This window comes from Homo sapiens, chromosome 8 (genome assembly GCF_000001405.40).
Source record: "Homo sapiens chromosome 8, GRCh38.p14 Primary Assembly".
Lineage (NCBI taxonomy): Eukaryota > Metazoa > Chordata > Mammalia > Primates > Hominidae > Homo > Homo sapiens.
In genome coordinates, this window is record NC_000008.11 from 144,449,582 (window position 1) to 144,476,029 (window position 26,448).

A 26,448-nucleotide genomic window follows, 5' to 3' on the forward strand; every position below is an offset into this window, starting at 1 on the left:
TTGTGTAACTTATCCAAGAGCCTGCAAGGAGTTTAATCTTTTTCCTGGGAAGAGACAATTTCACCCTGCTTTCGGAAAATGCCTGCTGAGCCCTGGTGGCTGAGTCCTGTCTCCCTGGGAGCGGCCGGTTGGCCAGGGCAGCCCCGACCCTACCTGGATCTTCCTGCCCAAGCCTCAGTCTCAAGACCCCATGACAGAGTGTAGGGGGAGGCAGTGTCTCTGAGTCTTTCCTCGGGGGACGTGTGCGGGCACACAGATGGGGGCGGGGCAGGCTCTGACCCCCAGGCCAAACCAAAGCCCCCACGCTGTCCATTCACAGCCATGCCTTCCCCTCGAACAAAACAGAAAGTACGAAACAAGGCTGCCTTTTAATTGCTATCAGATATTCGGATATCCCGTCTGATGTCAGCAAGGCCCCCGCGCCCCGCCGGAACCCGCAGGGATGGAGCAGCACCGCCGCCTGACTGCACAGAAGGGCTGGGGCAGGGTCGCTGTGCCTCTCGGCCTCCTTGCTGCCACCGTCTCTGAGCCTCGGGGCGCCTGGTGCACCGTCTCCTCTTCGGGTCAGCCCAGCCTCTGGCGGCCCTCGGAAGGAGGGGAGGCAGGGGTCGGGGGGGTGAGCCGGAGGCGGGGGCCCCGTCGCGCACGCATGCAGACTTGCCCTGTGTTGGCTTCGTTTGTTCTCCTCCTTTGCTAAAGTGATCAGATAGTCCTGTGAAGCAGCTGCCAGCCAGGTGGACAGGGCAGCGGTGCTGGGATGCCGCCCGTGGGCTCCTCGGACATCCTGAGGCCCCGCCCTACTTCTGTATCTGGAACAGGAAGAGCCGCAGGTTGATGTTCTTGGCAGCCAGCAGCTTGTTGCACTCCACGGAGTCAATGATGGGCAGTGGCACGTAGTCCGTCTCGTTGCTCTCGTTGGTGAAGACAAAGTGGTAGATGACGGGGCTGATCCTCACGTCGTCGTAGGGGCCCTTGAGCAGCAGGAAGGAGCACTCCAGCGGTGCCGTGACCTTGCTCTTGAGGAGGAGCTGGAAGGAGAGCGTACGCTTGCAGGACAGGTTGGGGTTACGCTCCGAGTCGTTGACTCGAGCCTTCAGGACCCACGTCTGGTTCAGCACTGTGAACCTGGGCGTCTCATAGTACAGGCGCGTGATGAAGTCGTCTGTGCGGTACGGCCGGAACTGGACCTCTGTGGAGACAGACAGGGCCGGAAAGAGCCGGCTGTTAGTGTGGGCAGGGCTGGGCAGCAACGCCTTCCCTGACCAGGCCGAGGGCAGGCTCAGCCGGGGAGGAAGGCAACTTACCCGGACACCGGGCTCTGCTTGTCACAAGCAAGCCAAACGCAACTATGGCAAATGGAGGTGCACACAAGCTTTGAGGGGAACAACCACAAACAGAATCAACATGGATTAGCTGGAGAGTCCAGAGGCTGCACGTGTCAGGCCACACCCCAGGCGTGCCCGACCCACGCTGGCCTCCCTCACCGCCCCGAGCCCCGGGTGTCCCCCAGGGCGGGGTAAGCAGACACACAGACAGGATGCGGTTCCGAGAACAAGTGCACTTTATTGGTTCTGATACAGAGGAGCTGCCAGAAAAGCCAGCAGGCGGCTGCGGCACCCAGCCCTGCCCGAGGGGAGCACCAGGTCTGCAGGCACCGGGCCTGATCCGGAGCTGCCAATCAGCAGGCAGCCCTGCCTGCACAGTCCTCTTGGGCAGCCCACAGCCTGTGGCCGGCAAGTCCCTCCGTGGAGGCGTGGGTTCCCAGGTGGCCAGTCTTTCCTGCGCGAATGGGGCTTCTCACCTGGCCACGGCCACAGCCACAGTGCCCCAGCCTGCCTAGACTCCACGAGGCCCCGGTATCTCCAGGACAGCTAAGGCTGCTACTCACCACGGGCTGTGGCTGCCGCAGAGACCCCAGGCCCTCGGCCTCTCTGGCCTGCTCGGGCCCACATCCCGCTGGGCACAGTCCAGGCAGCAGGGCGGGACTGGCTGCCCACGACCACCCTGCTTGCGCCACGCCTGGTGCTCTGAGCTGGCCGCCTGGTGTGGGCTGAGAGTAGAGGGATGGAGCTTCCTCCAGTGGCCCCAGCATCAACAGGTGCTTCTCGCTGTCCTCTGGGCCAGGCTCTGGCCTGGCTCCTGCTCCCCGACACGTTCAAAGGCGGTGGCAGCGGCCCAGAGAGCCACGAGATCCAGTGTGCCTGCGCACGCATCCAGCCTGGGCGTCTGTGGGTGTCCACTCCCGGTTCTACAGTTTGAGTCGGGCACCCTCAGCTTGTTGTGGAGCCCTCTCCCTGAATGGCTTCGTGCCAGCCTTGAGAGGCCCATGGCCGGGGCAGTGACTGCCTGCAGGTAGGACCTCACTCGGCAGGGTGCTCTTCTTGCCCCAGGGTCCGAGGGGCAGGCCCCTAGCTCCCAGGCCCCCTGAGACCTGCCCACTTTCTGGTTAGACCCTGACTGTCTTGAGGCTCTGGAGCCCCACAGTGAGATGCCACCTTGCAGGGATGGTGAAGCCAGGGTGGCGAGGACAGGTGGGCGGGGCTGCTGTGAGAGCCACACAGGTGTGCACCTGGGGTCTGCCTCGGCCCCTCCTTCCACTCAGTCTCCGGCCTGTCTTCTCGACCGAGGTGTCCACCTGTCCACCGGGAGCTTGTCCAGAGCCCGGCTGTCCGGCGCTGTCAGTGCCCAGTGCCCAGAGCCTGCTGCCCCCAGACTCCTGGCTGCCAGCCCCCCAACCCACACCTGTGTGGCATGCAGCAGGCGGCGGGGCGCCTCACCTGTGTAGCCAATCTTCTCGAAGCTGAGCAGGCTGAAGATGCTGTTGTACAGCTGCATCTCCTTGCGGTGGCTCTGGTCCATCCCATCCAGGATCTCCATCAGCTCACTGCCTGTCTTGGTCGGGTGGGCGCACGCAGCCTCGTGCACCGTCAGCTCATGGAAGGGGCCGTGCCATGGGCAGCCGATGCGTTTGTACTTGCACTGGGTTACCCTGGGGGAGGCAGGTACATCACTCACAGACTGAGCCCCGAACAGGAGGCTGCAACAAGCTGTCCTCCCATATGGCTTCCATCCAGCTAAGAACCCCTTCCTGCAGGACACACGTAACTGTGAGCCCACCCCCCAGGATGAGGTCAGAGTGGCAGCATGTGGAGAGAAAGGAGACAGGCAGAAAAAGGGAGAGAGAGGGGAAGGAAGAGTGCAAGCTTGAGCCTGTGTGCCCCGCACCATGGCGTGGTTCTCTCCTCTGTTTGGCAGTGGTGGTCCTGCACAGCCTCACTGCAGGAGACTTGGTGGCTGCCTCCACTGGATGGGTAGCCATGGGCAGTGTACCCTCACACCAAGCTCCCTGAGGTCCTGCGTTGGACACGCTGTCCTGGGCCCTTCAAGGGGCTCCCCCACAGCCACAAAGAGCACTGGAAGGCTAGGCTCATGTCCGGATAACAACTGGGTGCAAAACCCACCTGTCCCCATCCTGTGCAGGCACCCTCCCACAGGGCCGTCACTGGGCTACACAGGTGGTCCCCAAGGCCCAGACAGCAGAGACAGCCAGACCACCCTGCACAGGGCCCTGCTGCACCAGGGTGGGCTCCCAGCAGTCCTGGGCCCCGCCTGTAAGGCTAAGCCCCTGACCCTCAGTTACCTGTCCTGGCATTCCTCTTTCTGGTGCCTCTCCAGGAGGGAGCGGGGAAACTGGCGCAGGCAGAAGCCACACTCTGAAGGCAGCTCGCTCACGGCTTTCTCCACGGCCAGGTTCCGGCAGCAGAGGCTCTTACTGATCTCACAACGACAATTGGGGCACGTGGCCTGCTCCTCCTTCAGCCGGGCATCTGCTAGTAGGTGGATAAAACAGCCAGCGCACATCAAGTGACCATTAGTACACTGCGAAGAAGGAAAGGGAGACGAAGCTCACAGACCTGCGGGCTCATGCTCGCACACACCCGCCCATGCCCATCAGCTCCAGCCAGGTGTCCTGAGGGACTCCAGCTGGTGCAGAGGGGCGCACGTGCCTGTCCCGAGTCGTGCTGGAGTGTGGTGAACACTGCGAGCTGCTCAGGAGAAACAGGCAGAGCCAGCTTGGGTTCTTGCAGAGATTAGAGGTCCTAAAAGCAAGGCCTCATCAGCTCACAGAGGTGACAGCTCGCCCTGGCAGTGACGGGTTCAGCCACCTGGGGCCGAGGGTCACGCTTTTCCCTTAGGGACCAGCGACTGCCCTGACCCCCCTACAGGTCCAGAGTTTGGGAGCCCTCCAGGAACACTGGGCTCTTGGCCATCACTGTCAGGTGGGGAGCGGATGCAGCTCCCACACTGGGGCAGGCATGCTCTCTGGGCCTTCAGAAAGGCCATTTATCCTGGGTTGAGAGGACTTGGCTCAGGGTGAGCCCAGGTGAGAGGAGGCAGCTGCCCCCTCGTCCAGGGAGGTTGGCTACCTGCAGAGACCTCCTCAGAGCTGGGAGGCAGGAGCCAAGCTGGCCCAGGACAAGGACAAGGGCAGGTAGGCACACAGGGAGTGCCTGGGGAGCAGAAATGGGGGCTCTGAGTGGGTGCCGAGCCTGCTGGGGTAACCGGGGCTGGCAGGAGCAGGGCACCTCCCGCTGGGCTCCCTGCCTGTGTGGGCTCCCAGCACGCCCAGTGGCCTATCCTGGCTCTCACTCCCTCAACATAAGCCTCGAGCGTCCACTTGGTGCCACTGAGAGACACATGGCAAGCTGCGGTCCCAGCCCGTGGGGGCTCACAGCATGGGAGGTGGGAAGCCCAGACCAGAACCAAGAGGTCCAAGAACAAACAAAGCCTTTTGTACCTGAGCAGACACAGTTCCCACAGCCCTGGCTGGAGTGGGGTGTGTGGGCTGAGGCATTCCAGGGCCAGCCAGGAGTGACAGGGATGTGATGTGCCTCCCACCCAAAGACTCTTAGAGCTCGCTGAGGGGAGCAGTCAGCAGAGTTGCTCCTGTCCTGATGCCTCTCCAGCAGCCGGCCCAGGCTTGCCAGCCATGCAAACCTCCAGAAAGCCACTGGGCTACAGGCTTCCTTTGGGACCTGGGACCCTCTTGAGAATGGGATGTGGTGCAGCAGAGCAGCCTGCCCAGGCCCAGCCTCTCTACAAGGTGTGTGTCAGGGAGGGGACACTCACAGGGCCCTGCCTGGTGGCGCTGGGAGGCCGGCCCTGCCTGGTGGTGCTGGGAGGCCAGCCCTGCACACGTGGGGCCCTGGGAAGTCTGAGCTGCCATCCTACTGCTTCAGCTGCCTGTGCACCCCAAGCTAAGGAGCTGTCAGACGCTGGGGCTGTTCACTCAGCACCTGTGGACTAGGCCTAAGGCCTGCTGAGTCAAAGGACCTACATGTGGAGAACCGACAGTGAGGACAAAGCCCTCTTTCATGGAATCCACATCCACATGAACACCACCCGTTACCTGCATTCAATCCTCAAGTTCTCAGTTTGGTTAAAAATTAAAATTACAGGCGGTGGCTCATGCCTGTAATCCCAGCACTTTGGAAGGCCGAGGCAGGCAGGTCACCTGAGGTTAGGAGTTCATGACCAGCCTGGCCAACATGGTGAAACCCCATCTCTACTAAAAATACAAAAATTAGCCATGCATGGTGGCGAGCGCCTGTAATCTCAGCTTCTCAGGAGGCTGAGGCAGGAGAATGGCTCGAACCCGGGAGGCGGAGGTTGCAGTGAGCCGAAATGGTGCCACTACACTCCAGCCTGGGAGACAGAGTGAGACTCTATCTCATGAATACATAAATAAATAAAAATTAAAACATACACAGTTGCCTGAGGCAGGGAGTGAGACTGGCTCTGACTGGGTTGGGGACAAGCTGAGACCTGCCCCCAGGAGAAGGTGTGAAAATCCGCCAGCCAAGTCCAGGGGTCAGTGGTGGGTGGACTACAGGCAGGAGGGGGCACAGATGCTATTGAAGCAGCTGTCCTGTGGGAGGCACAGACCAAGGGCCCACACCACTGTCCTCTCACAGCCCCCCGCCCCCCGGAGGTATGCCACTCCACGTGGCCAGCTCTAAACACCTCCTGGTGAGACTGCCGGGGGCCTTGGACGAGGTTCTGGGTCCAGCTCTGCACGTACAGTGGCCTTAGCACAGGCAAAACAGCACTCTTCTTGGCTGTGGCCCGACCCCCAAGGGAGTTCCAGGCAGGGCTGGAGCATCTAATGCCACCCACCAAGGCCACCTGGCCTCTCTTCCTGGCTCTGCATAGCCCAGGAAGATTCGAGGTGGGGTCCTAGACCCTCCTAAGGGAGCACTGAGGCTGCCAAGCACATCACCACTTACCTCCCAGCACTGCGGGCCTCTCCCCCGAAAGCCACCCCAGCTCCTGGGCCGGCCCCTGGCCACAGGCCTCATTCCTTTGGGGCCTCCAGATCCCAGCATGGGCTCAGTCAATTCCATACCATGAGGAGGCAGCAGTGACCCTGCCCTCCTCTGGCTCTCTCTGGGCCTCCAAGAGGACCTGCAAGCTCCGAGGAGACACAGGGCCATTGCCCCTTCAGCCCCAATAGCTCCATTCAAGTCAGAACACAGGGAGTCCCTAGAGTGCCCTGGACTACACTGGCCCAGTAGCCAAGGGACACAGCCACACTCACCCCCAGACCCTCCCCACTGGTCAAAGGACATCTCTAGGTGCATGGCCCGGTCCCGACCAACACTCAGCCCAGGAGGTCTGTCCACAGCAGGACGGTCCCTGGTCACATGCTCCGGAGCCTCCCCACCATCTGGGTCCCCTCAGCCCCTGCGCAAGACTCTGGCTCTACACCAAGGCCAGGCCACAGGCAGCTGCATCCTTGGCCCTGGCAGCATCTGGCCAGATGCACTTGATTCTGACTTGTGCCCAACACCCAACAGAAGCTGGGCCCTGGAGGGCGCCGCACAGTCCAGGGGATGGCGTGGGCCAAGGCCCCCAAGAGCCCGGGCACCTTCCAGAGCAGCTGCTGTGGCACCCAGGCCAGGCCACCTCTCCCCACCAGCCAGGAAGACCCCAAGGGAGGGGAGAGGAGGGGATCCACAACCCCCCACGACCAAGAATGACGCCATGGGGGATGACATCATGGGCGAGACATCACAGAGGATGATGTCAGAGGGGTGACATCGTGGGAAATTGACATCACATGGGGAATGACATCATGGGGGAGACATCACGGGAATGATATCACGGGATGATGTCACATGAATGACATCACAGGGGGGACATCATGGGAGACTGGCATCACATGGGGGGATGACATCACCGGGGGATGACATCACAGGGGCATGACATTGCAGGGGAATTGCATCATGGGGGGTGACATCACGGAATGACATCACAGAGATGACATCACACTGGCATCATGAGGGAATGACATCACAGGGGATGACATTACGGGGATGACATCAAAGGGAGTATTGACATTACAGGGGATGACATTGTGGGAAATTGACATCATGGGGGACTGACATCATGGGGGGATGGCATCATGGGGGGAATGACACCATGGGGATGACATTAAAAGAGGTATTGACATCACAGAGGTGATACCACAGGGGATGACATCATGTGGTGACAGCACGGGAATGACGTCACATGTATGACATCACAGGGGAATGATGTCATGGGGGAATGACATCACGGGGGAATGACATCACAGGGCCTCCTGGGCCCTCCTAGGGCAGATGTGGGCTTGAAGCCACAGTGCTGGGCTCAGACGCCAGCCCACAGATCCCCAGTAATATGACCTTGGGCTCCCCTCTTGGGGCCTCAGTTTCCTCATGTGCACAGGTGATGAGTATAGGACCAGCTTCATTCTGTGCTGATGAGGTGGGATGGGACAGGGTGGCACTGCCCCACACCCAACAGGCAGACAGGAAATATCACCACCTTGGGCAGCCATGGCAGAGCCCCTGGGGCTGCCAACCCCAGGAGCCAGACCCCAGGCCCCTCTGCAGATGCTGATACACACAGGTGGCCCAGAAATGGCCATTTGCACCTGCATCCTCAGGACAGCACCCAGCCCTCCCCCCTGCTGGCTACAGGCAGCTCACGTGACCCCCATGCAGACCCAGGGTCTCCACCTGAGCTACTTCTTCCCTGGGGTTAAAGGGGAGCTAGATGGGCGGAACAGGCTCAAGGAGCCCTGACCCCATCCCCTGGCTGAGGGCCCCCACGATTTCCTGGTGGTCCCAAGGTCTCTATGGTCAGCTGACCTTGTAGGACCCCTTTCACACCTGGACTGCATGGTTCTCTCAGACCCTGGGGACCTCCTGTTTGCCACTGGAGGATGGCACAGTGCCCAGGCCCATGGGAGCAGTGCCCTCGCTCACCCAGGGGTCAGGGACCCACAGGCCCTTGACAGAGGTCGTCAGAGCCAAAATGCAGCCAAAGGGCTTCCCTGTGGCACAAACCCCAAAAGCGCTGCTCAGCCAGTTGGAGGTCCCCCTTCCTCTGCCATCTGCATGCAGGCAAGGCCTCACCAGGGCCAGTGGTGCTTCAGGGCACACCCCATGCACCCCGCGTGCTCGGCCCCTAACCTCCCGAATCAAACATGGGTCTGAGAGGGACTGGCACGTTGTCCAAGGCCGCACAGCTGTTAAGCATGAAGCCAGGACTCGAACCCTCCACCCAGGCTGGATTTGAAGTCCCTCACCTGCTACTGCTGTCAGACCTCAAACGGTGGCCAATCAATCCCCAGAGTCGGGCCCACATTCAGAACAAGGCTGCTTAGATCTAAAAGTAACTCAAATGATAACCACCACAGAAAACAAAAATTCCAACTAGCCAGAGATTCCAGAACATCTTCCTTGCTCCTGTGTTTTAGATACCTAAGCAGACGTATTTACAAAGATGTTTTCTGCCACTTTCCTCACCTCAAAGAACGAGTCAGCTGCAGTCCTGTACTGCTGCCCAGGAGACTGGGGAAGAGGGGCCCGAAGCTCCTTGGACATGTGGATGGTGACTCCACCCCCCCAGGACTGCACACTGTTGGCCTGGTTGGGGGTGTGGGGCTCGGGCAGAGAGGAGCCATCTCTGCTTCCTGGGCTGTTATCAATGGACTGTCAACATGTGGCATAGAGACATGGGCGCTACAGGCGGGAGGGCCACGGCACACACCAACCCACCCACAGAACAGAGTGGACACACCCTGGTCAGATGGGGCAGGAGGGGATCCTTGTAGCAAGGAGAGAACAAAGTCTCAAAGTGGGGGCGCTGCCTCTGCCGGGCCCAAGAGGTGGGCAGGGGCAGGGAGAGGACACCTCAGGCAGGAGAGCATGGGAATGGCAGGGCACTGTGCAGGGCCGAGTTAGAGGGAGCGGCTGGACCACATCTGTGAGAGGCCCCTGCCCGGCACTTACACCCGAGTGAGCCCGTTTTTGCCTTAAGAATGCCCCATGAGGGGTGGGAACAATGCGCAGTCCCTTCCTCCAGGTGCCAGCACCAAGGCCCAGGGCCTCATCTGACAGCAGCAGGAAGGGTCAGGGCCAGGTCTGTCTTACGCAGCATCACACTGGGCCTCGTCTGAAGGGCCAAAATGGAGGGAGAGAAGTCAGGGATGAGGCTGCGGCTGCAACGTCCCGGGCACCGCTGAGGCTGTCTCTTCCCAGAGGAGGTGCCCCATGGGCAGAGGTGCCAACAGGCCACACTGCCCTCGGGCCGCAGAGCAGGGAGCCGGCAGGAACGACCTGACCACCTGCGCGGCCTGGTCAGGCCAGAAGCTCCTGCACAGGTGTAACTGCTGCCCCACCAGCCCTCCTGCCACCCACCTGAGACTCCAGAAGGTGGCTGCACACCTTGTCAGGCCAGTCCCCCAGAACATATCTAACACCCACACAGAGAACATAAAAGCTGAGTCTTGCTGTACTGGCTGCAGCCCCAACCTGACGTGAGGCAGGACTCGGCGGTGGCGGAAACCTTTTGCATGAGGGCCTCAGTCTGACACCCAAGCAGGTTTCCCAGCCTGTGAGGCATCATCGTACGGGCACAGGCCCATGGGTCAGCTGGCCCTGCAGGCCCAAAGGCTCAGACCTGGGGCACCACCCGAGGCTTCCCTGCCAGCACTGGTGGCATCTGGTATCTGGATGACAAGCTCTCGAGTTACTGAGGACCCAGCCAATTCCAGAGGCCCATGGAGTTGTCCCCCACAGCCCCAGTGCCAGGGAGAACACACAAAGCTCAGCATGGCCACTCCCCTCTTCTCACCAGAGTCAGGGACTGTCTAAGTCAGCCCCCAGCTTGGCTGGTGCCCACCCTGAGCCATGTGTTCTGCTGGGGTCAGGAAAAGCGTTCTAGCAGGAACAGAGGGTGGAACCTGCTGCATTCCTGACACTGGCTGGCTCGAGACAGCCAATCAACGTGGTCACCAAGGAAAGCTAGTAGAATATGGTAGACTGAACCCAAGCTGGGGTGATGGCCAGCATGGGCCCAACCAGGGACACGCAGAAGGCAGCATGTGGGGGCCCACACCATCTGTGCCCAGATTCTCCAGGGAGCAGAGCAGGCCAGAGCCCAGGTCTCCAGGTCTGTGTTGACCTTCCAGGGGCACCACTCACAGCCGAGAGCCACCCGCCGGAGGTGTTCTTCGCAGCATTCAGGGAGGCCTGTGCCCACAGCACTCCTCGCTCAGCTGCTCTGTTCCCAGGGAAGTCACTGAACAGAGCCCCCAGGCCAGGGAGGGCCACCAGCCAGGGCAGCCCCAGCGCCTTCGGTCTCCATTACACCTGTTCAGCTCCCTGCCTCTGGCCGCCCAGAGCAGAACTCCACTCTGCACAGTGCAGGCCGGTTTGAACCAGCTAGGCTCAGAGGCCTGGTCACCAGGAGCTCCGGTCAGAAGCAGAGCCATCACTCTGTGCCGGGCCAGTCTAGATGGGGGATGCAGTGCACCAGGGACCAGTACCATGTGGCCCATCACCACCAGGTCCAGCTACAGCTCCAGCCCACCCACCAATGGGGAGACAAGGAGACTTCCCTGTTCCCCCGTGGCCTCACACCATTGGCTTGGCTTGTTGGAGTCTCCCTCGAGATCCAAGAAAAAGTTCTGGCCAAGCGCAGTGGCTCATGCCTGTAATCTCAGCACTTCAGAAGGCCGAGGCAGGCGGATCACCCAACGTCAGGAGTTCGAGACCAGCCTGGCCAACATGGCGAAACCCCGTCTCTACTAAAAAATACAAAAACAGCCGGGCATGGTGGCAGGCGCCTGTAATCCCAGCTACTCGGGAGGCTGAGGTAGGGAGAATTGCTTGAACTCGGGAGGCGGAGGTTGCAGTGAGCAGAGATCGTGGCACTTCACTCCAGCCTGGGTGACAGAGTGAGACTCCGTCTCAAAAAAAAGGAGAGTTCTTCCGCCTGGGAGGATCGAAGGTTGTGAGCCAGGAAAAAGGAGCTGGAGAGTGGGCACATCTTGGAAGCTGAGGCACTGCCAAAGCCAAGGAGTAACTGCTAACTCTGGGAGCCAGTGGCTCTGAAAAGTGCTCCCCTAGCTGGCCCTGGTGCCTGACACCCAGGAGGGTGGGTTAGAGCCAGTGCCCTCTCCCCACCCAGGCACACTGGGGTCCTCCCGACAAGGTCATGCCACAGCAAGAAGGACTTGGAGATCCAGAGTTTGGAGAAATGGCAACCTAGACTAGCCCTACACCACCTGCTACAAAAGTAGCTCCTCATCCAGGCCCCCAATTCAAACACAAGCAGGGAAACAAGGCCCCATTAGCTACTTCCAGCTCCTGTAAGTGTAAAGAAAGCTGACAGAGAACCTGCTTCATTTCTCACAGGGACTGGGGAGTTGAAAGAGAGGGAAAGACACAGGGAAGGTGGGGACACTGTACTCTGCCTCTGGGTGTCAACCAGTTTGTCCCTGCTGCTACCTGGGAAAGGGCATGTCAAACCCACCTGGGCCAGGTACCCTAACAGCCCTAGGCTGCTTAAGGGCTGAGTCCCACTGCCATGCGGATGTGAAGATGGGGGAGGAGGGGTGGGCCGGCTCCTGGAGCACTGGCTGCCTAGGAAGCCTGGCCTGGCCTGGGTGAGGTGGGCAGGAGCCTAGCGTGGGGCATGGCAAGTCCAGTTGGATGTGGGGTTTGGCTGGGACTGGAGAAGGTACCCAAACTGTGGGGCTTGTTGCAAATGGTTCATCCCGACAAACAGCAATCCCCTCTCCTTACTGTTCTTCAGGATGAACTGGAAATGGACCAAGAGAAAGGATTCTTCCACCCAGGAGGGTAGAAAAGGAGGCGTCCATAGGATGTTCAGGAGTGGAGGGACAAACTCGGGGGTGTGGCTGCCGGAAGAATGGGGAAGGAGCTCTCGAGCACAGGACTCTGAGCCCAGGGAGCTTGGGACCGGGTGGGTTGCGGGGAGCAGTTGCGGGCTAAGGATCAGTTTGAGGCTGTGGGTTGGGAGAGTGTTCAGGGGACCGTGGGGAAGTCTAGAAAAAAGAAGGGAGAGGTAAGCGGAAGACAAGCGATTCAGATCGGGAAGTACCGTGGATCAGAAAACAGAAAAGGGGGGTCCCGAGCGGAAAATAAAGCCCTGAGAGAAAGACAACGAGGAGCTTCGGAGCAGCCGCTGGAGCCCCGCTGGGCGAGGAAGTGGCTGTAAGGGCCAGAGAGGGTTCCCGGCCGCCGGGCCCCGCAGGCCTGGCCTCCGAGGAGACGCGGATCCTGGGGCCCCGCGGCGGGGGCTGCAGCCCCGGGCTGGGCCGGGTCGGGGTCGGCCGGCGGCCCTACCTGGTACACGGAGGCCTTGGGCAGGTCCAGGCACACGGTGCAGCACAGCACCGAGTAGAGCCGCTCCTCCAGTTTCCCGCTGCCGGCCGCCGCCGCCGCCGCCGCCGCCTCGGCCGCCTCGGCTGCCCGCAGCCGCTTCTTGGGCGGCGCGTCGGGGTCGCCGGCCGCCTCCTGCAGCTGTAGCTGCCGGGCGCCCGCCAAGCCCGCCTCGTCCGGGAGCCCAGGCCCCGCCGCCTCGCCCAGAGCCGCCGCCGCCGCCTGCCCGGCGGCCGCCCCGGGCCCGGCTCCGACCCCGACCCCGACCCCGGCCGGCACGGAGCCCGCGGGCCCCGCGGCCGGGCCGCCCCCGCCGGCCTCCTCGGCGCCGGACATAGCGGCCGGCCGGCCCGGCGGGCGGATGCCGGCGCGCTCCCCCGACTAGAAGTTAGGGGCGCCGCGCGCTCCCGCCGCTCTCCTGCCGCCGCCGCCGCGAACCCGCAGCCCCGCTCCCTGCGCCGCCGCCTCAGTGGGCCCGGCCCGCGCGTAGCCCCACAGCCGCCGCGGCCACCGACCCCGGCACGGCCGCCATCTTTGTTTTCGCTGTGCGCTTCCCCCCGCCCCGCCGCCACCACCCCCTCGTCTTCCCCGTCACGTGAGCCCCACGCGGGGCCAATGGGAGCGCCGCTTGGGGCAAGAAAGCGCAGGGACTAGAGCCAATGGGAGAGCGAGGGCCCCCGAAGGCCCGCCCCTGCAGAAGGTGGGCGGGGAGGGGGCGCGGCCTGCGAGAGTCGCGGAGGGACTCGCACCTGGGGGCAGGGAGGCCCACGCGAGCTGTGGCGCCGGCGCGGCACCCACGCTCCACGAGCCAGTGGCGGCCGCCGACCCCTACGGCGGGGTGTGCCTGTGTCTCTGTCCCCCAAGACTCAGGCTTGTGTTAGGGGCTCTCGCCCCCTTCCCCGCAGGGGAAGGACACAAGTGAAAAATCCCGCCGGCCACCCCTCTCTGTCGGGTGCGGGACCCCTTAGGTCTCCACAGGAGCAAGCGGAGAGACTTCCAGGAGAGGGGACTCCAGACCCCTAACCCACCGGAATCTAATCCTCTGCTCGTCCGAACCCCCTCTAACCCTGGGGTTGGAGACTGAAGGGGTCCACTGAGGAAAACGAAGGTATTAGGGAATAGGGCTGGCTTCCACAGGCCGGAGGTACACAGGAGGGCGAATCAGCTCTGGGAAGGATGTGCGTTTCTCGAAACGCCTGTGGTACAGCCCTCCCCTGCCTCCACCCTACTCTTCAGTTCTTGAAGGTCACTGCCCCAGAGGGCCACCTGCCAGGCCAGGCCAGGATATCTGGAACTCCACCATGTCCCTGGAGAGTAAGGGCCCAGGGCTATGTCTTCTCAGCCCAGGGGTCTTCCTGACAATAGTCAAAAGGAGGCCGGGCTGCATGAGACCCCATCCTAGTTCCAGCACATACCCTGTCAGGGTAACTGACTACTGTCCTGAGGGGCCTTAGGAAGCTCACTGAAAGATCCCTCAATCCCTCTCAAAAATGGGCAGTTTTCATATTCCTGCAAAATTCCTAAGATTTATTGGAGACTAGGCCTCTTCTCTGGATCCACAACCGTGTCCAGCCCAGAATCAGGACCCCCAAACGTGTCTGGGACCCTGTCCCTTTCATTCTGGTCTAGACAAGTCCCCACACGTGGCCAAAGGACAGCACCCAGACTCTGCCCCTGACCAGTCAATGTGCAGCAAACCCACTTCAGTAGGCAGAAGAGTCTACCCCTAGGGAGAAGGCGCCAGGAGCAGGCAGGTGGGAGGGAAAGTGTTCGGCAGGGCAGAAACCCTGCCTGGCTGTATCCAACTGTCACTCCCACTGGAGGCGCTGTGTATGCAGGGCCCGGCAGTAAGCCCAGCTGCCTACAGCCAAGGCCCAGCGACAGACATCCTCCTTCGGTAGCAGCAGCAGCCTGTCCTCCTCCAGCCGGCTCAGGAGGCCTGCCACACCCAGCATCGCCCCCCCCCACATCCCATAAGTGTTGGCCGTGAAGACAGCTACAATGAGGATGGTCACTGCGACCACCAACAGCATTGCCTGACCAGCCACAGAGCGGCCCTCAGGGCCGAGGTGGCCGCCAGCCACTGCCAGCACCATGCCTCCTCCCAGGAGCAGGTTGGCAGAGGAGCGGTCCCCATTCACCCAGTGGAAATCGAAGGCCAGAAGGGGAAGGCCGATGACGGTGGCCACCCAGGCTCCAGCAAGGCAGTCTTCGTGTGTGCTCAGCCCTGGGGCCAGCGTGGTGGTGGCAGCCAAGACCTGGAGCAGGAAGCCAGCAGCAGCCCCTCGACTTGCCTGTCAACACAGGGAAGGGAGAACACGTGGGAAAAAGAGGCCGGGGTCACCCTTTTAAACAGGAAAGGGTTTGGGGCTTCCATGGAGACCTGGTCTTAGACGCACTTCCCACCAACCTCTCTCTAATTCAGGAAACTAGGTCCTTGGGGTTTGGGAGGTATGGGGATGCGCCCCTGCTCAGCCCCAGTGTACTCACCTCGGCTGTGCTCACGGCTGCGTGCAGAGACACCACTCCCAGCACCAGATGGGACAGGGCTGTGCTCCACTCGGCCCCCGGCTTGGGGGCCATGGCACCTCAGGCGGCAGTATGTACGAGGACACAGATAGGAGATACTCAACTTTGGAGAGGAAGGAAGCGCAGAAGCCAGCGACCTGGAGCCCTACGCGCGGCACTCTAGTAAGCCCAGGTTCCAGGTCCCCATTACTGGATGTTAGGAGAAGTTCAGTCCTAGACTTTCCGGATCCCTGAGGCCACTGCACACACCTGTGGAGAAGAAGAACCTAATTCAGCCGGGAAACGGGGGAAAACGACTCAGGGTCTAAGCTGGGGGGAACGTCAGCCCTGGGGCCCTGGAGCCCAAGTGGGAGTGCGGGCCTGGGGAAGAGAGAGCGGCGAGGCGCTGCAGGCCCACGCGGCGGCCTCGGCCTGCTCCCTGCGTTCCGGGAGGCGTTGTCCTGGGAACCCGGGTCCAGGAGGAGCGACGGCGCAGGACTCCGGGAGGCCAGCCGTGCGCAGTTACCGGGCTGCGCGGTCCCAACGCAGCGGCGAGCGGGAGGCCCGAGCCTGCGCAACGCACCGCCCACCGCCGTCGGCCCTGCCTCCTCTGCCGTGCCCCCAGTTGCGGGAGCGAGCGCGGTCGGGAACCTCCACCAGCGAGAGGAGCGGAGGCTAGAGCGGCCGGGCGGGGCTAGAGCGGCTGGGGGGGGAGGGTCGAGGCCTGGGGGAGAGGGTCGAGACCTGGGGGGGGCCGGTTGGAGGCCGTAGGAGCGGGTGGGGTCGGGAGGAGCTCGGGGACCAGAAAACGCTCTGTTTGGGTGGGTGCGTGCGTGGGCATAGTGGTTTGGAAGGAGCGTGATGAGGGGAGAAGGGCCGGGGCGGGGCTGCGAGGGGCGGGGTCTGGGCGGGGCTGCGAGGGGCGGGGGGTCTGGGCGGGGCTGAGGGAGATAAGGTTTAGGCGGGGCTGAGAGCGGCGGGTCTGAGAGGGAGGGGGCCTGGGTGGGGCGGGGCCTGGGCGAGGATGCGATGGGGGGGTCTGGGCGTGGCTGCGAGGGGCGGGGCCTGGGCGGGGCTGCGAGGAGAGGGGTCTGGGCGAGACTGAGAGGGACCGAGAGGGGAGGAGCCTGGGCGAGGCTGCAAGGAACGGGGTTTGGGCGGGGCTGCGAGGAGGGGGGGTCTGGGCGGGGCTGAGATGGGCGGGGCTGAGATGGGCGGGGCTGTAGGGAGAGGAAGGAGAACCCCGGCGTGTTGAAGGCTCCGCGAAACCGGAGCGGTGGGGGACTACGCGGAGGGTGGGAGGGATTCCGAGAGGAGGGTCGCGGGAGCCGTGGGCGCTCTCAGCCCGGTGTCCGCGGTGTAGGGGTTGGGGCGCGCCGGGCGGCGCCGTGAGAAACGGCGGGTCTCCAGGTGCGGCCGCGGGCACCTGTTTCTAGTACCCCCGTCCCCGCGCTCGCCTTCCAGCCGTGGGAGCCGGGCCGTGGGGGCGGCCGTCGCGAGCATGCGCACCGGCACTGCGGCGGGCGGGCGCCGAGTCTGGGCGCGGGGACGCGGGGCGGCGCGAAGCGGGGCCCTCTGCCGCCCCGCGCTCCCATGTACGCCTTTTACTCGTTGCTCATCTACATCTTCTACAGCCTCTTCCGCAGGGATGGTGGCGCCGCGGCGGCCGCGGAGCCCGGGGACCCCGCCCAGGTGAGCGGGGCTGGCCGTGCAGCCCGTCGTCTCCCGCCGCCTGCCCCACCCCCACGCCGAGGTTCCCGGGGCGGGGGCGGGCACGGGGCGCGGGGCGACGGGGCCGTGCCGAGGACCCTCGGCTCGGCCCCGATGCTGGAAGCGTAGACTTCGGCCCCAATCCTCCGGCCCGGTTCGCGGAGGGAAGGGGCCAGCAGGCTGCCTGCCCCCCTCCTCAGGGGCGCCCCTGCCCCCTCCCTAGAGAGCCCGCAAGCCCCGGGGTCGCCGGCGCCCAGACCTGCCCGCGCCAGAGCTGTGGACCGAGCTGACCGGCCTGGCCGGTAGGTGCGGGCTGGGAGTCCCGCGGTGCGAGGGCGGTGCCGGGACCTCCCAGGGAGGGGCGGAGGCCTGGCTCAAGCACGTGACCCGAAATGTCTCCCGCCCTCCTCCCTGACCGGCAGCCAGCTCCGAGCCTGAGGATGGGTCGGAAGGCGCAGCCGAGGGCCGCGCGGCCGCGGTGTCCCTGGAAGAGGCCCTACTGCGCCTCGCCGAGTTCCTCTCCGTCCAGCTGGGGGCGGAAGAGAGCTGCGGGGGCCCGGCGGACCTGGGCCAGGTGAGCGCGGCGGAGGGGGCTGCTGGCAGGTACCACCTGCCCCGGCCTTCCTGGCTTTCACAGCCCTGCTCGGATTCTTGTCTCCTTCGCAGTCTGGCGAGGTCCCCTCACTGTTGACAGTGACCAGTCAGCTCTTGGCCCTTCTGGCATGGCTTCGAAGCCCCAGGGGGAGGCAGGCCCTGCTCCAGGGGACTCAGCCAGCCCCTCGGGTCCGGCCCCCCTCTCCAGATGGTGAGTAAAGGACAGTAAGTTGAAGAAGAACTCTGGAGGGAGCAAATCCCGGTAGAACCTGGGCGGCCTGGAGTTCGGGGTCATGTTCCGGAAGATTTGGACTAGAGACCTCTTCAGTGCTAACTGGGCCCACCCTACTCCAGGATCCACATCCCAAGAAGAAAGCCCTTCCCACTTCACCGCAGTCCCAGGCGAGCCACTGGGGGATGAGACCCAGGGACAGCAGCCCCTCCAGTTGGAGGAGGATCAGAGGGCGTGGCAGCGGCTGGAGCAGCTCATCCTGGGACAGGTGAGGTCCCTGGAGCCAGAAGGGATTGCCGGCTGGGACGCCAGAAAAAGGAGGTCCACCCTGTCTCTCTTACTTCTCCCCAGCTGGAGGAGCTGAAGCAGCAGCTGGAACAGCAGGAGGAGGAGTTGGGTCGACTGCGCCTGGGCGTGGTGAGGCTGCAGGGAGACCTGGCAGGGCCGGGCATGGAGGGGGTGCTTCAGGTGAGTGCCGAGGTTTCCTCTCCACCAGGGGGCGACGGACTCAGAGAAAAGGGTTCAGCATCTGACTCTGGAGAACGAGGCCCTGAAGCAGAGCCTGAGTCTCATGCGGGACCTCCTGCTGCACTGGGGCCCCGGGCCCCCCATCAGGGCTCCGCAGGTACTCTGCTCCCGAGCTGCAGCCGTTCCTGCAGCCTGGGGCTCTTGCACACCTGGCATGCAGCCACAGGGCCCGAGCCTCCTCAGGACCTCCCGGGATGGTCTGTGTAGGGCAGCCCCATCAGGGAGGCTGATGCCAATGGGAAGACCCCCCTCTCCGTGGCCCCTCTGAGTGGCTGACCCCAGGAGAGCAGAGGGACTGTGGGAAGGAGGTCTGCGTGGAGCTGGGAGGCATGGGTTCACAGCCAGCTCTGCCCACCTCTTGACTTGACTTTCCCATCTGTGAAATGGTACCACAGACCGTCCCTCTCTGAGTCCCTCCTGGCCCCCACCCTCCCGCAGGAGGAGGCAGAGGCATTGCTAGAGCTCCAGGGCCGGCTTCAGGAGGCCCAAGACACCACAGAAGCCCTCCGAGCCCAGGTGGGCATGGGGCCCAGGGATCCATGGCTCAGGGGTGAGGCGGGCTGGGGTTTTGGGAGGGGCTTATCTGAGGCAGGGCCTGGTAAGTGCCTGTTTCCTCAGTGACAGGGGTGGGGTTGGGCGGGGCAGCTGGGGGTGCAGGAGGTGCAGCTGCAGGGCCTTCAAGGGGCCCTCCAGCAGCTCCAGCAGGAGACGGAGCAGAACTGCAGGCGTGAGCTACAGCAGATGCATGGGCAGCTGGCAGGTAAGGGTTGGGGTTGGGGCTCATGGGAGGCCCTGGAGGCTGGGCCTTCCCTTCCAACAGACTTCCCTCTCCAGGACTTCGGGCACGGATGGCCAGCCTGCGTCAGGGCTGCGGGGACCTCCGAGGTTTGGTCAGCACCTTTACCCAGAGCTGTCAGGGTTCGCTGAGTGAGGCCCGGGGCCAGGTCAGGACCCCTCCCCGCCTAGCCCCTCCTCTCTGGGCAGCCTATTCACTGTTCTTTTGACGGGGGCGTTCCTGGGGAGTTGGCTGTACTAATAAGTGGGGCTCTGGAACCCAAACAGCTTCTGTGTGACCCAGGGTGGGATTCCACTTCTGGGCCTTATTTTAATTCTATGCATACTTGGTTGACAGTAAACTCTTAAAGCATTGCCCAGAAGCACGGAGGAGACAGATGATGTGGTGTTCCTGCCTGTCATTCCTGGGCTTTATCCTGGGGTTACTCAATGATGTCCCCAGGGGCCCAGAGCCACTGAAAGTTGTGGCTTAGCACAGCTGAGCGGGCCTGTGGGGGCTCCCTGCTGCTCTCAGGACCCTCCCACCCCCCACCTCCGCAGCTCCTTGGCTGACCCCTTGCCTTCTGTACATCCCTGTTCCCTCAGGTGTCCTGGGCCTTGGGGGCACTGTCATCTGGAGGGCCTGGCACTCAGCTCCCTGAGGGGCAGCAAGGGCCCCCAGCCGGATGCCCAGGGCGGCTGCCAGAACTCAAGGGTATGACAGGCTTGGGAGCCTAGCGGGGCAGGGAGGGCGGCTGGAAGAAGTGCAGCTTCTCTGTGCTTTAGGGTCTGCGAGGCATTATGCTGACCTGATCCCCACTGCAGGAAATATCCGTGTGCTGTGTCGGCTGAGGCCAGGGACATCTTCTAGCCTTGTGAGTGTGGAGCCTGGCCCAGGGGGCACCGTCACCACCTGCTACCGGGGGCGCCATCGTCGATTCCGCCTAGACTGGGTCTTCCCTCCAGACGCCAGCCAGGAGGAGGTGACAGCCTGCCTTTGCAGCCATCCTGACCCTTTTTCAGAGTTCCCTGAAGAGCAGGAGAGGCTCCAGTTTCCCCTTCCCAGTCTGGGTGTCCACCTGGAGGAGAGAGGGTGGCTGGGCTCTAGCCAGGAAGGAAAGGGAACCGAGGGGGCTGGGAAGCAGGGCAGGCAGCCCAGCTTGGTGCCTCCTCCTCCCAGGCTTCACTGCCTGCCCACTCCCCTTTGCTGGGGTCCAGGGTTTGCCCAGCTATGAGGGCCCCTCATTGCTTTATGGCCCCAAGGCAGGCGGTGGGTGGTGGGGGCCGTGGGTGAGGAGGCAACCTTCTAGTCTTAGTGTGCTCTCTCTGCCTTGCCTGGATCCCACTCTCCTTCCCCACCCTTTTCCTGCCAGACACCTGTGGAAAAGCAGGGGCTTCAGCCCCAGCCCACCCCACTTTCACACACGTTTTCATCTGCACATGCCCTTTGCTGCTACAGCTCCCATAGCTAAGGAGATGGCAGCTCAGAGCCAGGGGAGACTAGGTAAGGGGCAGAATGGCAGCGACTCCCAACCAGGCTGCCTGCCAGCCTCACAGGGACAGGGGGACGACTGCCCAGCAGGTGGCCAGGGTCACCCTGATTGCCTCTTTTCCAACCACTTCTTCCTTCATCCCACACATCCCTCTGGCCTTAGCCCCACCCCACACTGCAGCACTGCGCAGGGCATGCCTTGTGCACCGTCCTCTGGACAGCCGTCCTGGACAGGGTCCTCTCAGTCAATGTGTCTGAACCAAAGGCATCTGTGGACAAGCCCCTCATCTGTGTTCCTGTTTCTGCAGTGGTGCCATGATGTGCTCCTGAATGTCATCCTCAGTGCCACCTCCATCCAATCATGGAACCTCAGTGACCACACAGAACACAGAATTCTAGATTCTAGCCTTGTGGCTGTCTTCAAACAGAGCTGACAGCCCACCCTGTTAGCAGCGACCTTCTGGGCATAAAAGCCAGCCATGTTGTTGCTCAAAAGACTGTTGGTGTCCAGTGCCAATGGGGTGAATGTCCTAACCTTGTGTCTCTCTCAGCACCTGTCTGTGCCTGGGCTCCAGCAGGCCTGGCTGGCCACCATCCCCCGTACCTGCAGGCCCTTCCTGGGGTCACGCCTTGTGAGCCAGGTACTGGTGTGGCCGGCCCTCTAGGTGCACTGCCACAAGTGTTCACAGCAGGTGCCACTGCAGCCCTTATCTCTCAGGGGAAAGTGAGGCACAGGAAGGCCAATGAGTAAGCTCCAATCATACCCAGGTTTGAACCGTGCAGTCACGCCCCAACATCTGGGCTCTTTTTTTTTTCTTTATTTTTGAGATGGAATCCCACTCTGTTGCCCAGGCTGTAGTGCAGTGGTGTGATCTCGGCTCACTGCAACCTCCGCCTCCTGGGTTCAAGCAATTCTCCTGCTTCAGCCTCCGAAGTAGCTGGGATTACAGGTGCGTGCCACCATGCTCGGCTAATTTTTGTATTTTTAGTAGAGACAGGGGTTTCACCGCGTTTGCCAGGCTGGTCTTGAACTCCTGACCTTGTGATCTGCCTGCCTTGGCCTCCCAAAGTGCTGGGTTTACAGGCGTGAGCCACCTCGCCCAGCCCATCTGGGCTCTTTTAAACATTTTTAAAATTTTTTACTACATATATATGTATATGTATTTTTTTTTTTTTGGACAGTCACACTTTGTCATCAGGCTGGAGTGCAGTGGTGCAATCTCAGGTCACTACAACCTCTGCTTCCTGGGCTCAAGAGATCCTTCCACCTCAGCCTCCCGAGTAGCTGGGACCACAGATGTGCAACACCATGCCTGGCTAATTTTTTTGTAGTTTTTGTACAGACGGGATTTCACCGTATTGCCTAGGCTGGTCTCAAACTCCGGAGCTCAACCAATCCACCCTCCTTGGCCTCTCAAAATGCTGGGATTTATTTTTCTTTTTTTCACGTTGGCTTCCACATTAAGGACACCACACCTGCGCTCTTAACTGCTGTCCCCAGGTCTCCTACGTGGTCTTCAGGACTCCAGAGCCTCTGCATAGGCTGTTCCTCTTCTCATTGTGTCTTTTCCCTTCTTTGCCTGGCAAATTCTTGCAAGCACCACCTTCTCTAGGGAGACAGAGGGTCTCTGTAGGACACACCCTCCCCCATGGTCCCTTAGAGCCATCCTCCCAGGAGACTAGGCTCTGCTCACACCTGCCTTCGTGGCACTCCCCACCCCACCAAATAGGGCATAAACAGGCAACGTGGGGAGGACTCAAAACACATTCTCCCGCCTCCCGCAGGTCTTCAGAGAGCTGGAACCTGCGGTGCTGTCCTGCCTCCGAGGCTACAGCGTCTGCATCTTCACCTATGGCCAGACAGGCACCGGGAAGACCTACAGCATGGAGGTGGGACAGAGCTCACGCCCCAGTGGGAGAGGCCCCAGGGGCCCTGCATGACTTGGATGTGAGCCCGGTGTGCACCCCACCCCATCCTCAGGGCCCTCCTGAGGACCCCGGCATAGTTCCTAGGGCGCTGCAGTCGCTGTTCCGGGAGATGGGGGCCGGCCGGCAGCACCGGGTGACACTCAGCATGGTGGAGATCTACAATGAGGCTGTCAGGTGGGCTACTCCACCAGGGAGGCCTTCTCCCCACCCCTGGCCCAGGGCCCTTCCGGATTTCCAGAGAATTCTGGAACCAAGACCTTCCCCTTTCTCACCAGGGACCTCCTTGCTCCAGGGCCTCCCGAGCGCCTGGCCGTGAGGCAGGGCCCAGAAGGCCAGGGCGGGATCCAGGTGGCTGGCCTCACCCACTGGGACGTGCCCAACCTGGAGACATTGCACCAGGTAGGGCTGCACCGCTCTCCGAGACCCCGCCCCGTGCTTCCACTTGGGGGCGGGGACCCTGCACCTGACCAGCCCTTCGCCCCGCCTTCCAGATGCTGAAACTGGGGAGGAGCAACCGGGCCACCGCCGCCACCGCCATGAACCAGCGCAGCTCCCGCTCGCATGCCCTGGTCACGCTGACGCTGCGCGCGGCGTCTCCACCGCGCGCTCCAGGCACCGCAGGTACCACGGCCGGTGCCTGAGCCCTGCGGAGTCTCCAGAGCACCCGAGGCCCGGCCTTCCCCCATGTCGGGCTCGCTCGCCCCTCTAGGCACGCTGCACCTGGTGGACCTGGCGGGATCCGAACGCGCACGGAAGGCAGGGGCGGCCGGCCCGCCGCGGGGAGACCCAGACGGCGCCCGGCGCCTGCGGGAGGCCCAGACCATAAACCGCTCGCTGCTGGCGCTAGGAGGCGTGATGGCCGCACTGCGGGCCCACCGGCCGCACGTGCCCTTCCGCGACTCGCAGCTCACGCGACTGCTGCAGCCGGCGCTGGGCCCAGGCACCACCGCGGTGCTGCTGCTGCAGGTGGGCGCCGGGGCGGGGCAGGTGTGTGCGTGCCGGTCGCCGCCCACCCGGGCCCGCCCACCCGCGCCTCTTGCCCGCAGATCTCCACGCGGCCGGAGGATCTCGGGGAGACAGTCTGCTCCCTCAAGTTCGCCGACCGAGTGGGTCAAGTGGAGCTGGGGCCAGCCCGGCGCCGCAGGGTCCCGCGCTCCTCCGGGACGCCTTCTTCCCTCAGCACCGACACTCCGCTCACCGGGACCCCCTGCACCCCTACGCCGTCCCCTGGCAGTCCTCCATGCCCCAGTCCCGACAACGGCTCGGGCTCGGCTCTCGCGCCCGCAGAGGGCCTGCCCCTCTAGTCCTGGGTCGCGGCCCTGCCCATGGGGTCTCAGGCCAGGTCTCTGCTGGCAGAGGCGGTAGTAAAGTCCCTGTACCCCGTCTCCCAGGGCACAAGCTCCCTAGCCTCTTTGGATCCATTGCCCCTGAGCTCCCAGAGTCACCCCTCCACCTCCGCAGCCAGTGAAGTGTGTTGTGCCTGCTGAAGTGATCACCCCCCGCCCCCAGCCCTGCATCAGGCCACAGGTCTTGGCTTTCTCCTTATCACCATTTGCTGTTATCACGGCACACAGCAGGGAATCCCAGGCCCCCCCGCCAAGTGGTTACCCAAGTCACCACTCCTGACCCAAAAATCAGGCATGGCATTAAAACGTTGCAAATTCCTTTACTGTTATCCCCCCCACCACCAGGACCATGTAGGGTGCAGTCTTTACTCCCTAACCCGTTTCCCGAAAAAGGTGCTACCTCCTTTCCAGACAGATGAGAGAGGGCAGGACTTCAGGCTGGATCCACCACTGGGCTCTCCCTCCCCCAGCCTGGAGCACGGGAGGGGAGGTGACGGCTGGTGACTGATGGATGGGTAGTGGGCTGAGAAGAGGGGACTAGGAAGGGCTATTCCAGGCTCAGCCCTGCTCCTGCAGCTTTGCCGCTGAGTGTAGGAAAAACAGGCATGACAGACCAGGGTGAGGGTTGTGCCCAGCTGGGCCACGGCCATGCGTGGGGTGGCCCAATAAACACCGTGGACTCCCAGCAAGGCTGCTGCCTGGTGTTTCGAGGCTGCTGTGGTCGCAGACAGCCGCCTCGCCTTGGCTCCCTGTCAACAAGGTGGGGGTGGGAGCGGGAGGGAGGAGTGGCCCCTGTCTTAAGAGCCTCACAGGCTGCACCAGGAGAGCAGCCAGCCTGGGCCAGGGGCCGCCAGGTCCCGAGGGTGGCTGACCCAAACGTCGTAGATGCTTTTGTTGGGTGGCACCCCTTGGAAGAGGGCGTCTAGATCGCAGAGCAGCCCTGGGGGCCCTCGGGTTTCAGGGGCCACCCCCCAGTAGGCAGGGCTGGTTGACGGACACTGGGGACAGGAGGTGGGTGGTGGTGCCAAGGGCATTACCACATTGGGAGTGTAGATAGGCAAGTAGGAGGTGGGCAGCTGCCCCCAGAGGGAGGCCCTGTGTCCCCCGCTGGACCGTCCCCCAGGAACTGCGGTGCCCTGCAGTAAGTGGAGAGGCCAGGCCCTAGGCTCTGGGGAGAGGGTTGAGGGCCCGATGGCTCCCCCCTGCACAGTCTCCCCCTCCACTCTCGTGGGGCCAGGAAGGGGGCAGAGGGGCCACAGAGGCCTCTCAGAAGAGGGAAGGGGTGGGGTGGGCACCGCCTCCTCCCCACTGTTCCCTGTGCCTGCAGGAACTGGGCTGCTCTGTGGAGCTAGCCCCGGCCAGGGTGCCCCCTCCCCGGACCCTCCTAGCAGGGACTTGATGCTGAAGCCCTCACTGGGTGGTGGCGGGGGACTGGGCGGCCGGTATGGCCGGCCGTGCAGCACGTAGGGGCCCAGGTCCTTGGCGAAGGCTCCACGCGCACCTCCGTTCTGCCAGCGCCGGCACAGGGCGGTGTTCTGCAGCCGGAGCGCCTCAGCTGGGATCAGGCTCACGTCGACCGCCCAGAAGTTGCCCTTGGCCTGGGGCTTTGCAGGGTCCTTGGGCACCTGGGTGTGGGGGTCAGACATGGGTGGGGCTGCCCAACCTTGGATGCTCAGGACTTCCGCGCGCGCTCCGCCCCCGGGCTCCGACCCTGGCCTGCCCCACCTTGCGGAAGCATCGGTTGGAGGAAAGGTTGTGGCGAATGGAGTCTTTCCAGCCCTCGTAGTCTTCCCTGAAGAAGGGGAACACGGCCTGGACCTGACGGATGATCTGAAACCGCCAGGCGGCCGGCCGGCGCCGTGAGCCCAGACGGGGAGGGGGTAGCGCCCTACCCCTCCCCCACTACCGGGCTCAGGGGCGCGCGGTGCCGGCCCCTGCTGTCCCCGAAGAAGGACATTTCTGCGCGGAAGCGCGGCAGAGAGGGCAAGGGGCTCCCGGAGAAGGGTCGTGCCTTGAGGCCCTCAGCTCTCAGGACTGGTCCCACTGGCATACCTGGGTGGGCTAGGAAGGGGTGGGGGTCAGGGCTTGAACCTGGAAGTGGGTGGGGAACGAGTCTGGGGAAAGAGAGAGTGGGGGCCGGGGCCCGCTCACCTGGGCCAGCTTCAGTCTGCGGGAGGGAGCGGCCTGAATCACCAAGGCGATCATGGCCAAGTAGGTGTAGGGGGGCTTGTCATGTCGCAGGTACCTCTTCTTCCTCCTCTTAGGGGGCTGGGAGGGCGACTCTGCCTCTGGGGGCCCCAGGCGGGAGCCGCTGCAGGGCCCCATGCGGGACGGTAGACAGCGTGGGCAGGGGCCTGGCCGGGTGGAGGGTGCAGGGCGGTGGGGCAGTGTAGAAGGCAGGGCCGGGACCTGAGGCCGGGCTGGGGCAGGCGGGCTGGGGCCTTTATCATTCGGATGGAAGGGGGAGGGGAGGGAAGGGAGGAAGAGGCTGTGGGGGAGGGGAGCATGCCGAGGGCTTCCACAATTAGCAGGTTTTGGTTAATCTGGAAGGGAGGGGCAGAGAGCATTCTAGTGGGGGCTTCTCCTGAGGCCTCAGTC

At 63.0% G+C, this 26,448-nt stretch overlaps 5 protein-coding genes and 1 non-coding gene across 36 annotated transcripts, besides 17 other annotated features; 1 reads left to right on the forward strand and 5 right to left on the reverse strand.

Moving 5' to 3' along the window:
* Nucleotides 1–13,290, reverse strand: ZFTRAF1 (zinc finger TRAF-type containing 1). Of its 4 annotated transcripts, none has more exons than NM_001408048.1 (4): nucleotides 13,253–13,290; nucleotides 3,641–3,879; nucleotides 2,778–2,989; nucleotides 1–1,189 (listed from the first exon to the last, which is right to left on the reverse strand). In NM_001408048.1, exons 2-4 carry the CDS (start codon nucleotides 3,859–3,861, stop codon nucleotides 798–800), a joined length of 825 nt encoding a protein of 274 aa, NP_001394977.1. In that variant the 5' UTR covers nucleotides 3,862–3,879; nucleotides 13,253–13,290; the 3' UTR covers nucleotides 1–797. The 4 variants fall into 4 exon arrangements, with proteins under 4 accessions (NP_001394977.1, NP_001317547.1, NP_001394978.1 ...); NM_001330618.2 differs by having other exon boundaries at nucleotides 12,702–13,290; NM_001408049.1 differs by lacking the exon at nucleotides 1–1,189 and having other exon boundaries at nucleotides 1,544–2,989.
* TMEM276-ZFTRAF1 (TMEM276-ZFTRAF1 readthrough) lies at nucleotides 1–16,120 on the reverse strand. Of its 18 annotated transcripts, none has more exons than NM_001408009.1 (6): nucleotides 15,829–15,911; nucleotides 15,228–15,515; nucleotides 14,879–15,031; nucleotides 3,641–3,879; nucleotides 2,778–2,989; nucleotides 1–1,189 (listed from the first exon to the last, which is right to left on the reverse strand). In NM_001408009.1, the coding sequence occupies exons 2-6, from the start codon at nucleotides 15,318–15,320 to the stop codon at nucleotides 798–800; spliced, it is 1,089 nt and encodes a 362-aa protein (NP_001394938.1). In that variant the 5' UTR covers nucleotides 15,321–15,515; nucleotides 15,829–15,911; the 3' UTR covers nucleotides 1–797. The 18 variants fall into 18 exon arrangements, with proteins under 18 accessions (NP_001394938.1, NP_001394937.1, NP_001394939.1 ...); NM_001408008.1 differs by having other exon boundaries at nucleotides 15,772–15,911; NM_001408010.1 differs by having other exon boundaries at nucleotides 15,627–15,911.
* Nucleotides 12,861–13,538: an enhancer, noted in NCBI's record as "H3K27ac-H3K4me1 hESC enhancer chr8:145687825-145688502 (GRCh37/hg19 assembly coordinates)". NCBI's record gives its function as "activates a minimal SCP1, AML or CMV promoter by ChIP-STARR-seq in primed H9 embryonic stem cells {active_cell/tissue: H9 hESC(primed)}" and the evidence as "EXISTENCE:reporter gene assay evidence [ECO:0000049][PMID:30033119]".
* Nucleotides 12,904–12,958, reverse strand: MIR10400 (microRNA 10400). Its single transcript, NR_162109.1, has one exon. It is a non-coding gene; the product is annotated as a microRNA 10400 (primary transcript).
* Nucleotides 13,203–13,502: a silencer, noted in NCBI's record as "silent region_19687". NCBI's record gives its function as "represses an Ori minimal core promoter by ATAC-STARR-seq in GM12878 lymphoblastoid cells {active_cell/tissue: GM12878}" and the evidence as "EXISTENCE:reporter gene assay evidence [ECO:0000049][PMID:35858748]".
* Nucleotides 13,539–14,216: an enhancer, noted in NCBI's record as "H3K4me1 hESC enhancer chr8:145688503-145689180 (GRCh37/hg19 assembly coordinates)". NCBI's record gives its function as "activates a minimal SCP1, AML or CMV promoter by ChIP-STARR-seq in primed H9 embryonic stem cells {active_cell/tissue: H9 hESC(primed)}" and the evidence as "EXISTENCE:reporter gene assay evidence [ECO:0000049][PMID:30033119]".
* Nucleotides 13,553–13,672: a silencer, noted in NCBI's record as "silent region_19688". NCBI's record gives its function as "represses an Ori minimal core promoter by ATAC-STARR-seq in GM12878 lymphoblastoid cells {active_cell/tissue: GM12878}" and the evidence as "EXISTENCE:reporter gene assay evidence [ECO:0000049][PMID:35858748]".
* On the reverse strand, nucleotides 14,244–17,434 carry TMEM276 (transmembrane protein 276). Of its 7 annotated transcripts, none has more exons than NM_001408062.1 (3): nucleotides 17,372–17,434; nucleotides 15,228–15,515; nucleotides 14,244–15,031 (listed from the first exon to the last, which is right to left on the reverse strand). In NM_001408062.1, exons 2-3 carry the CDS (start codon nucleotides 15,318–15,320, stop codon nucleotides 14,546–14,548), a joined length of 579 nt encoding a protein of 192 aa, NP_001394991.1. In that variant the 5' UTR covers nucleotides 15,321–15,515; nucleotides 17,372–17,434; the 3' UTR covers nucleotides 14,244–14,545. The 7 variants fall into 7 exon arrangements, with proteins under 7 accessions (NP_001394991.1, NP_001394989.1, NP_001394990.1 ...); NM_001408060.1 differs by lacking the exon at nucleotides 17,372–17,434 and adding an exon at nucleotides 17,215–17,270; NM_001408061.1 differs by lacking the exon at nucleotides 17,372–17,434 and adding an exon at nucleotides 16,703–17,270.
* Nucleotides 14,311–14,924: an enhancer, noted in NCBI's record as "H3K27ac-H3K4me1 hESC enhancer chr8:145689275-145689888 (GRCh37/hg19 assembly coordinates)". NCBI's record gives its function as "activates a minimal SCP1, AML or CMV promoter by ChIP-STARR-seq in naive H9 embryonic stem cells {active_cell/tissue: H9 hESC(naive)}" and the evidence as "EXISTENCE:reporter gene assay evidence [ECO:0000049][PMID:30033119]".
* Nucleotides 15,630–15,859: a silencer, noted in NCBI's record as "silent region_19689". NCBI's record gives its function as "represses an Ori minimal core promoter by ATAC-STARR-seq in GM12878 lymphoblastoid cells {active_cell/tissue: GM12878}" and the evidence as "EXISTENCE:reporter gene assay evidence [ECO:0000049][PMID:35858748]".
* Nucleotides 15,910–16,169: a silencer, noted in NCBI's record as "silent region_19690". NCBI's record gives its function as "represses an Ori minimal core promoter by ATAC-STARR-seq in GM12878 lymphoblastoid cells {active_cell/tissue: GM12878}" and the evidence as "EXISTENCE:reporter gene assay evidence [ECO:0000049][PMID:35858748]".
* Nucleotides 16,240–16,369: a silencer, noted in NCBI's record as "silent region_19691". NCBI's record gives its function as "represses an Ori minimal core promoter by ATAC-STARR-seq in GM12878 lymphoblastoid cells {active_cell/tissue: GM12878}" and the evidence as "EXISTENCE:reporter gene assay evidence [ECO:0000049][PMID:35858748]".
* Nucleotides 16,430–16,989: a silencer, noted in NCBI's record as "silent region_19692". NCBI's record gives its function as "represses an Ori minimal core promoter by ATAC-STARR-seq in GM12878 lymphoblastoid cells {active_cell/tissue: GM12878}" and the evidence as "EXISTENCE:reporter gene assay evidence [ECO:0000049][PMID:35858748]".
* On the forward strand, nucleotides 16,468–24,621 carry KIFC2 (kinesin family member C2). Of its 5 annotated transcripts, none has more exons than XM_047422406.1 (18): nucleotides 16,468–16,655; nucleotides 16,880–16,937; nucleotides 17,179–17,257; nucleotides 17,378–17,529; nucleotides 17,622–17,760; nucleotides 17,904–18,049; nucleotides 18,133–18,198; nucleotides 18,278–18,406; nucleotides 18,748–18,825; nucleotides 18,955–19,069; nucleotides 19,144–19,253; nucleotides 19,690–19,798; nucleotides 19,909–20,066; nucleotides 22,361–22,465; nucleotides 22,557–22,678; nucleotides 22,780–22,903; nucleotides 22,996–23,125; nucleotides 23,214–24,621. In XM_047422406.1, the coding sequence occupies exons 8-18, from the start codon at nucleotides 18,353–18,355 to the stop codon at nucleotides 23,867–23,869; spliced, it is 1,761 nt and encodes a 586-aa protein (XP_047278362.1). In that variant the 5' UTR covers nucleotides 16,468–16,655; nucleotides 16,880–16,937; nucleotides 17,179–17,257; nucleotides 17,378–17,529; nucleotides 17,622–17,760; nucleotides 17,904–18,049; nucleotides 18,133–18,198; nucleotides 18,278–18,352; the 3' UTR covers nucleotides 23,870–24,621. The 5 variants fall into 5 exon arrangements, with proteins under 5 accessions (XP_047278362.1, XP_047278361.1, NP_001356698.1 ...); XM_047422405.1 differs by having other exon boundaries at nucleotides 16,468–16,521; NM_001369769.2 differs by lacking the exon at nucleotides 16,468–16,655 and having other exon boundaries at nucleotides 16,756–16,937; nucleotides 23,214–23,470; nucleotides 23,551–24,621.
* Nucleotides 17,040–17,349: a silencer, noted in NCBI's record as "silent region_19693". NCBI's record gives its function as "represses an Ori minimal core promoter by ATAC-STARR-seq in GM12878 lymphoblastoid cells {active_cell/tissue: GM12878}" and the evidence as "EXISTENCE:reporter gene assay evidence [ECO:0000049][PMID:35858748]".
* Nucleotides 17,040–17,959: a biological region, named in NCBI's record as "H3K27ac-H3K4me1 hESC enhancer GRCh37_chr8:145692087-145692923".
* Nucleotides 17,123–17,959: an enhancer, noted in NCBI's record as "H3K27ac-H3K4me1 hESC enhancer chr8:145692087-145692923 (GRCh37/hg19 assembly coordinates)". NCBI's record gives its function as "activates a minimal SCP1, AML or CMV promoter by ChIP-STARR-seq in naive H9 embryonic stem cells {active_cell/tissue: H9 hESC(naive)}" and the evidence as "EXISTENCE:reporter gene assay evidence [ECO:0000049][PMID:30033119]".
* Nucleotides 17,420–17,479: a silencer, noted in NCBI's record as "silent region_19694". NCBI's record gives its function as "represses an Ori minimal core promoter by ATAC-STARR-seq in GM12878 lymphoblastoid cells {active_cell/tissue: GM12878}" and the evidence as "EXISTENCE:reporter gene assay evidence [ECO:0000049][PMID:35858748]".
* Nucleotides 17,650–17,749: an enhancer, noted in NCBI's record as "active region_28099". NCBI's record gives its function as "activates an Ori minimal core promoter by ATAC-STARR-seq in GM12878 lymphoblastoid cells {active_cell/tissue: GM12878}" and the evidence as "EXISTENCE:reporter gene assay evidence [ECO:0000049][PMID:35858748]".
* Nucleotides 22,861–22,920: a silencer, noted in NCBI's record as "silent region_19695". NCBI's record gives its function as "represses an Ori minimal core promoter by ATAC-STARR-seq in GM12878 lymphoblastoid cells {active_cell/tissue: GM12878}" and the evidence as "EXISTENCE:reporter gene assay evidence [ECO:0000049][PMID:35858748]".
* Nucleotides 23,823–24,718: an enhancer, noted in NCBI's record as "H3K27ac-H3K4me1 hESC enhancer chr8:145698787-145699682 (GRCh37/hg19 assembly coordinates)". NCBI's record gives its function as "activates a minimal SCP1, AML or CMV promoter by ChIP-STARR-seq in naive H9 embryonic stem cells {active_cell/tissue: H9 hESC(naive)}" and the evidence as "EXISTENCE:reporter gene assay evidence [ECO:0000049][PMID:30033119]".
* On the reverse strand, nucleotides 23,831–26,268 carry FOXH1 (forkhead box H1). The gene is made up of 3 exons (NM_003923.3): nucleotides 26,002–26,268; nucleotides 25,576–25,680; nucleotides 23,831–25,475 (listed from the first exon to the last, which is right to left on the reverse strand). Exons 1-3 carry the CDS (start codon nucleotides 26,173–26,175, stop codon nucleotides 24,657–24,659), a joined length of 1,098 nt encoding a protein of 365 aa, NP_003914.1. The 5' UTR covers nucleotides 26,176–26,268; the 3' UTR covers nucleotides 23,831–24,656.
* Nucleotides 24,719–25,612: an enhancer, noted in NCBI's record as "H3K27ac-H3K4me1 hESC enhancer chr8:145699683-145700576 (GRCh37/hg19 assembly coordinates)". NCBI's record gives its function as "activates a minimal SCP1, AML or CMV promoter by ChIP-STARR-seq in naive H9 embryonic stem cells {active_cell/tissue: H9 hESC(naive)}" and the evidence as "EXISTENCE:reporter gene assay evidence [ECO:0000049][PMID:30033119]".

What these genes read in the sequence shown, in the direction of transcription:
- ZFTRAF1 (NM_001330618.2), bottom strand. Translation starts at nt 13,073, where the DNA reads ATGTCCGGCGCCGAGGAGGCCGGCGGGGGCGGCCCGGCCGCGGGGCCC. An exon ending in AAAGAGGAATGCCAGGACAG is followed by an intron (nt 2,990 to 3,640) that starts GTAACTGAGGGT and finishes TGCCTCCCCCAG; the next exon opens with GGTAACCCAGTGCAAGTACA. An exon ending in CGAGAAGATTGGCTACACAG is followed by an intron (nt 1,190 to 2,777) that starts GTGAGGCGCCCC and finishes CTGTCTCCACAG; the next exon opens with AGGTCCAGTTCCGGCCGTAC.
- TMEM276-ZFTRAF1 (NM_001408009.1), bottom strand. Translation starts at nt 15,320, where the DNA reads ATGGCCCCCAAGCCGGGGGCCGAGTGGAGCACAGCCCTGTCCCATCTG. An exon ending in AAAGAGGAATGCCAGGACAG is followed by an intron (nt 2,990 to 3,640) that starts GTAACTGAGGGT and finishes TGCCTCCCCCAG; the next exon opens with GGTAACCCAGTGCAAGTACA. An exon ending in CGAGAAGATTGGCTACACAG is followed by an intron (nt 1,190 to 2,777) that starts GTGAGGCGCCCC and finishes CTGTCTCCACAG; the next exon opens with AGGTCCAGTTCCGGCCGTAC.
- KIFC2 (NM_145754.5), top strand. Translation starts at nt 16,839, where the DNA reads ATGTACGCCTTTTACTCGTTGCTCATCTACATCTTCTACAGCCTCTTC. An exon ending in GCCCGGCGGACCTGGGCCAG is followed by an intron (nt 17,530 to 17,621) that starts GTGAGCGCGGCG and finishes TCTCCTTCGCAG; the next exon opens with TCTGGCGAGGTCCCCTCACT. An exon ending in CAGAAGCCCTCCGAGCCCAG is followed by an intron (nt 18,826 to 18,954) that starts GTGGGCATGGGG and finishes TGGGCGGGGCAG; the next exon opens with CTGGGGGTGCAGGAGGTGCA.
- TMEM276 (NM_001408062.1), bottom strand. Translation starts at nt 15,320, where the DNA reads ATGGCCCCCAAGCCGGGGGCCGAGTGGAGCACAGCCCTGTCCCATCTG. An exon ending in CAGCCGTGAGCACAGCCGAG is followed by an intron (nt 15,032 to 15,227) that starts GTGAGTACACTG and finishes CTGTGTTGACAG; the next exon opens with GCAAGTCGAGGGGCTGCTGC.
- FOXH1 (NM_003923.3), bottom strand. Translation starts at nt 26,175, where the DNA reads ATGGGGCCCTGCAGCGGCTCCCGCCTGGGGCCCCCAGAGGCAGAGTCG. An exon ending in GCAGACTGAAGCTGGCCCAG is followed by an intron (nt 25,681 to 26,001) that starts GTGAGCGGGCCC and finishes TGGCGGTTTCAG; the next exon opens with ATCATCCGTCAGGTCCAGGC. An exon ending in CCAACCGATGCTTCCGCAAG is followed by an intron (nt 25,476 to 25,575) that starts GTGGGGCAGGCC and finishes CCCCACACCCAG; the next exon opens with GTGCCCAAGGACCCTGCAAA.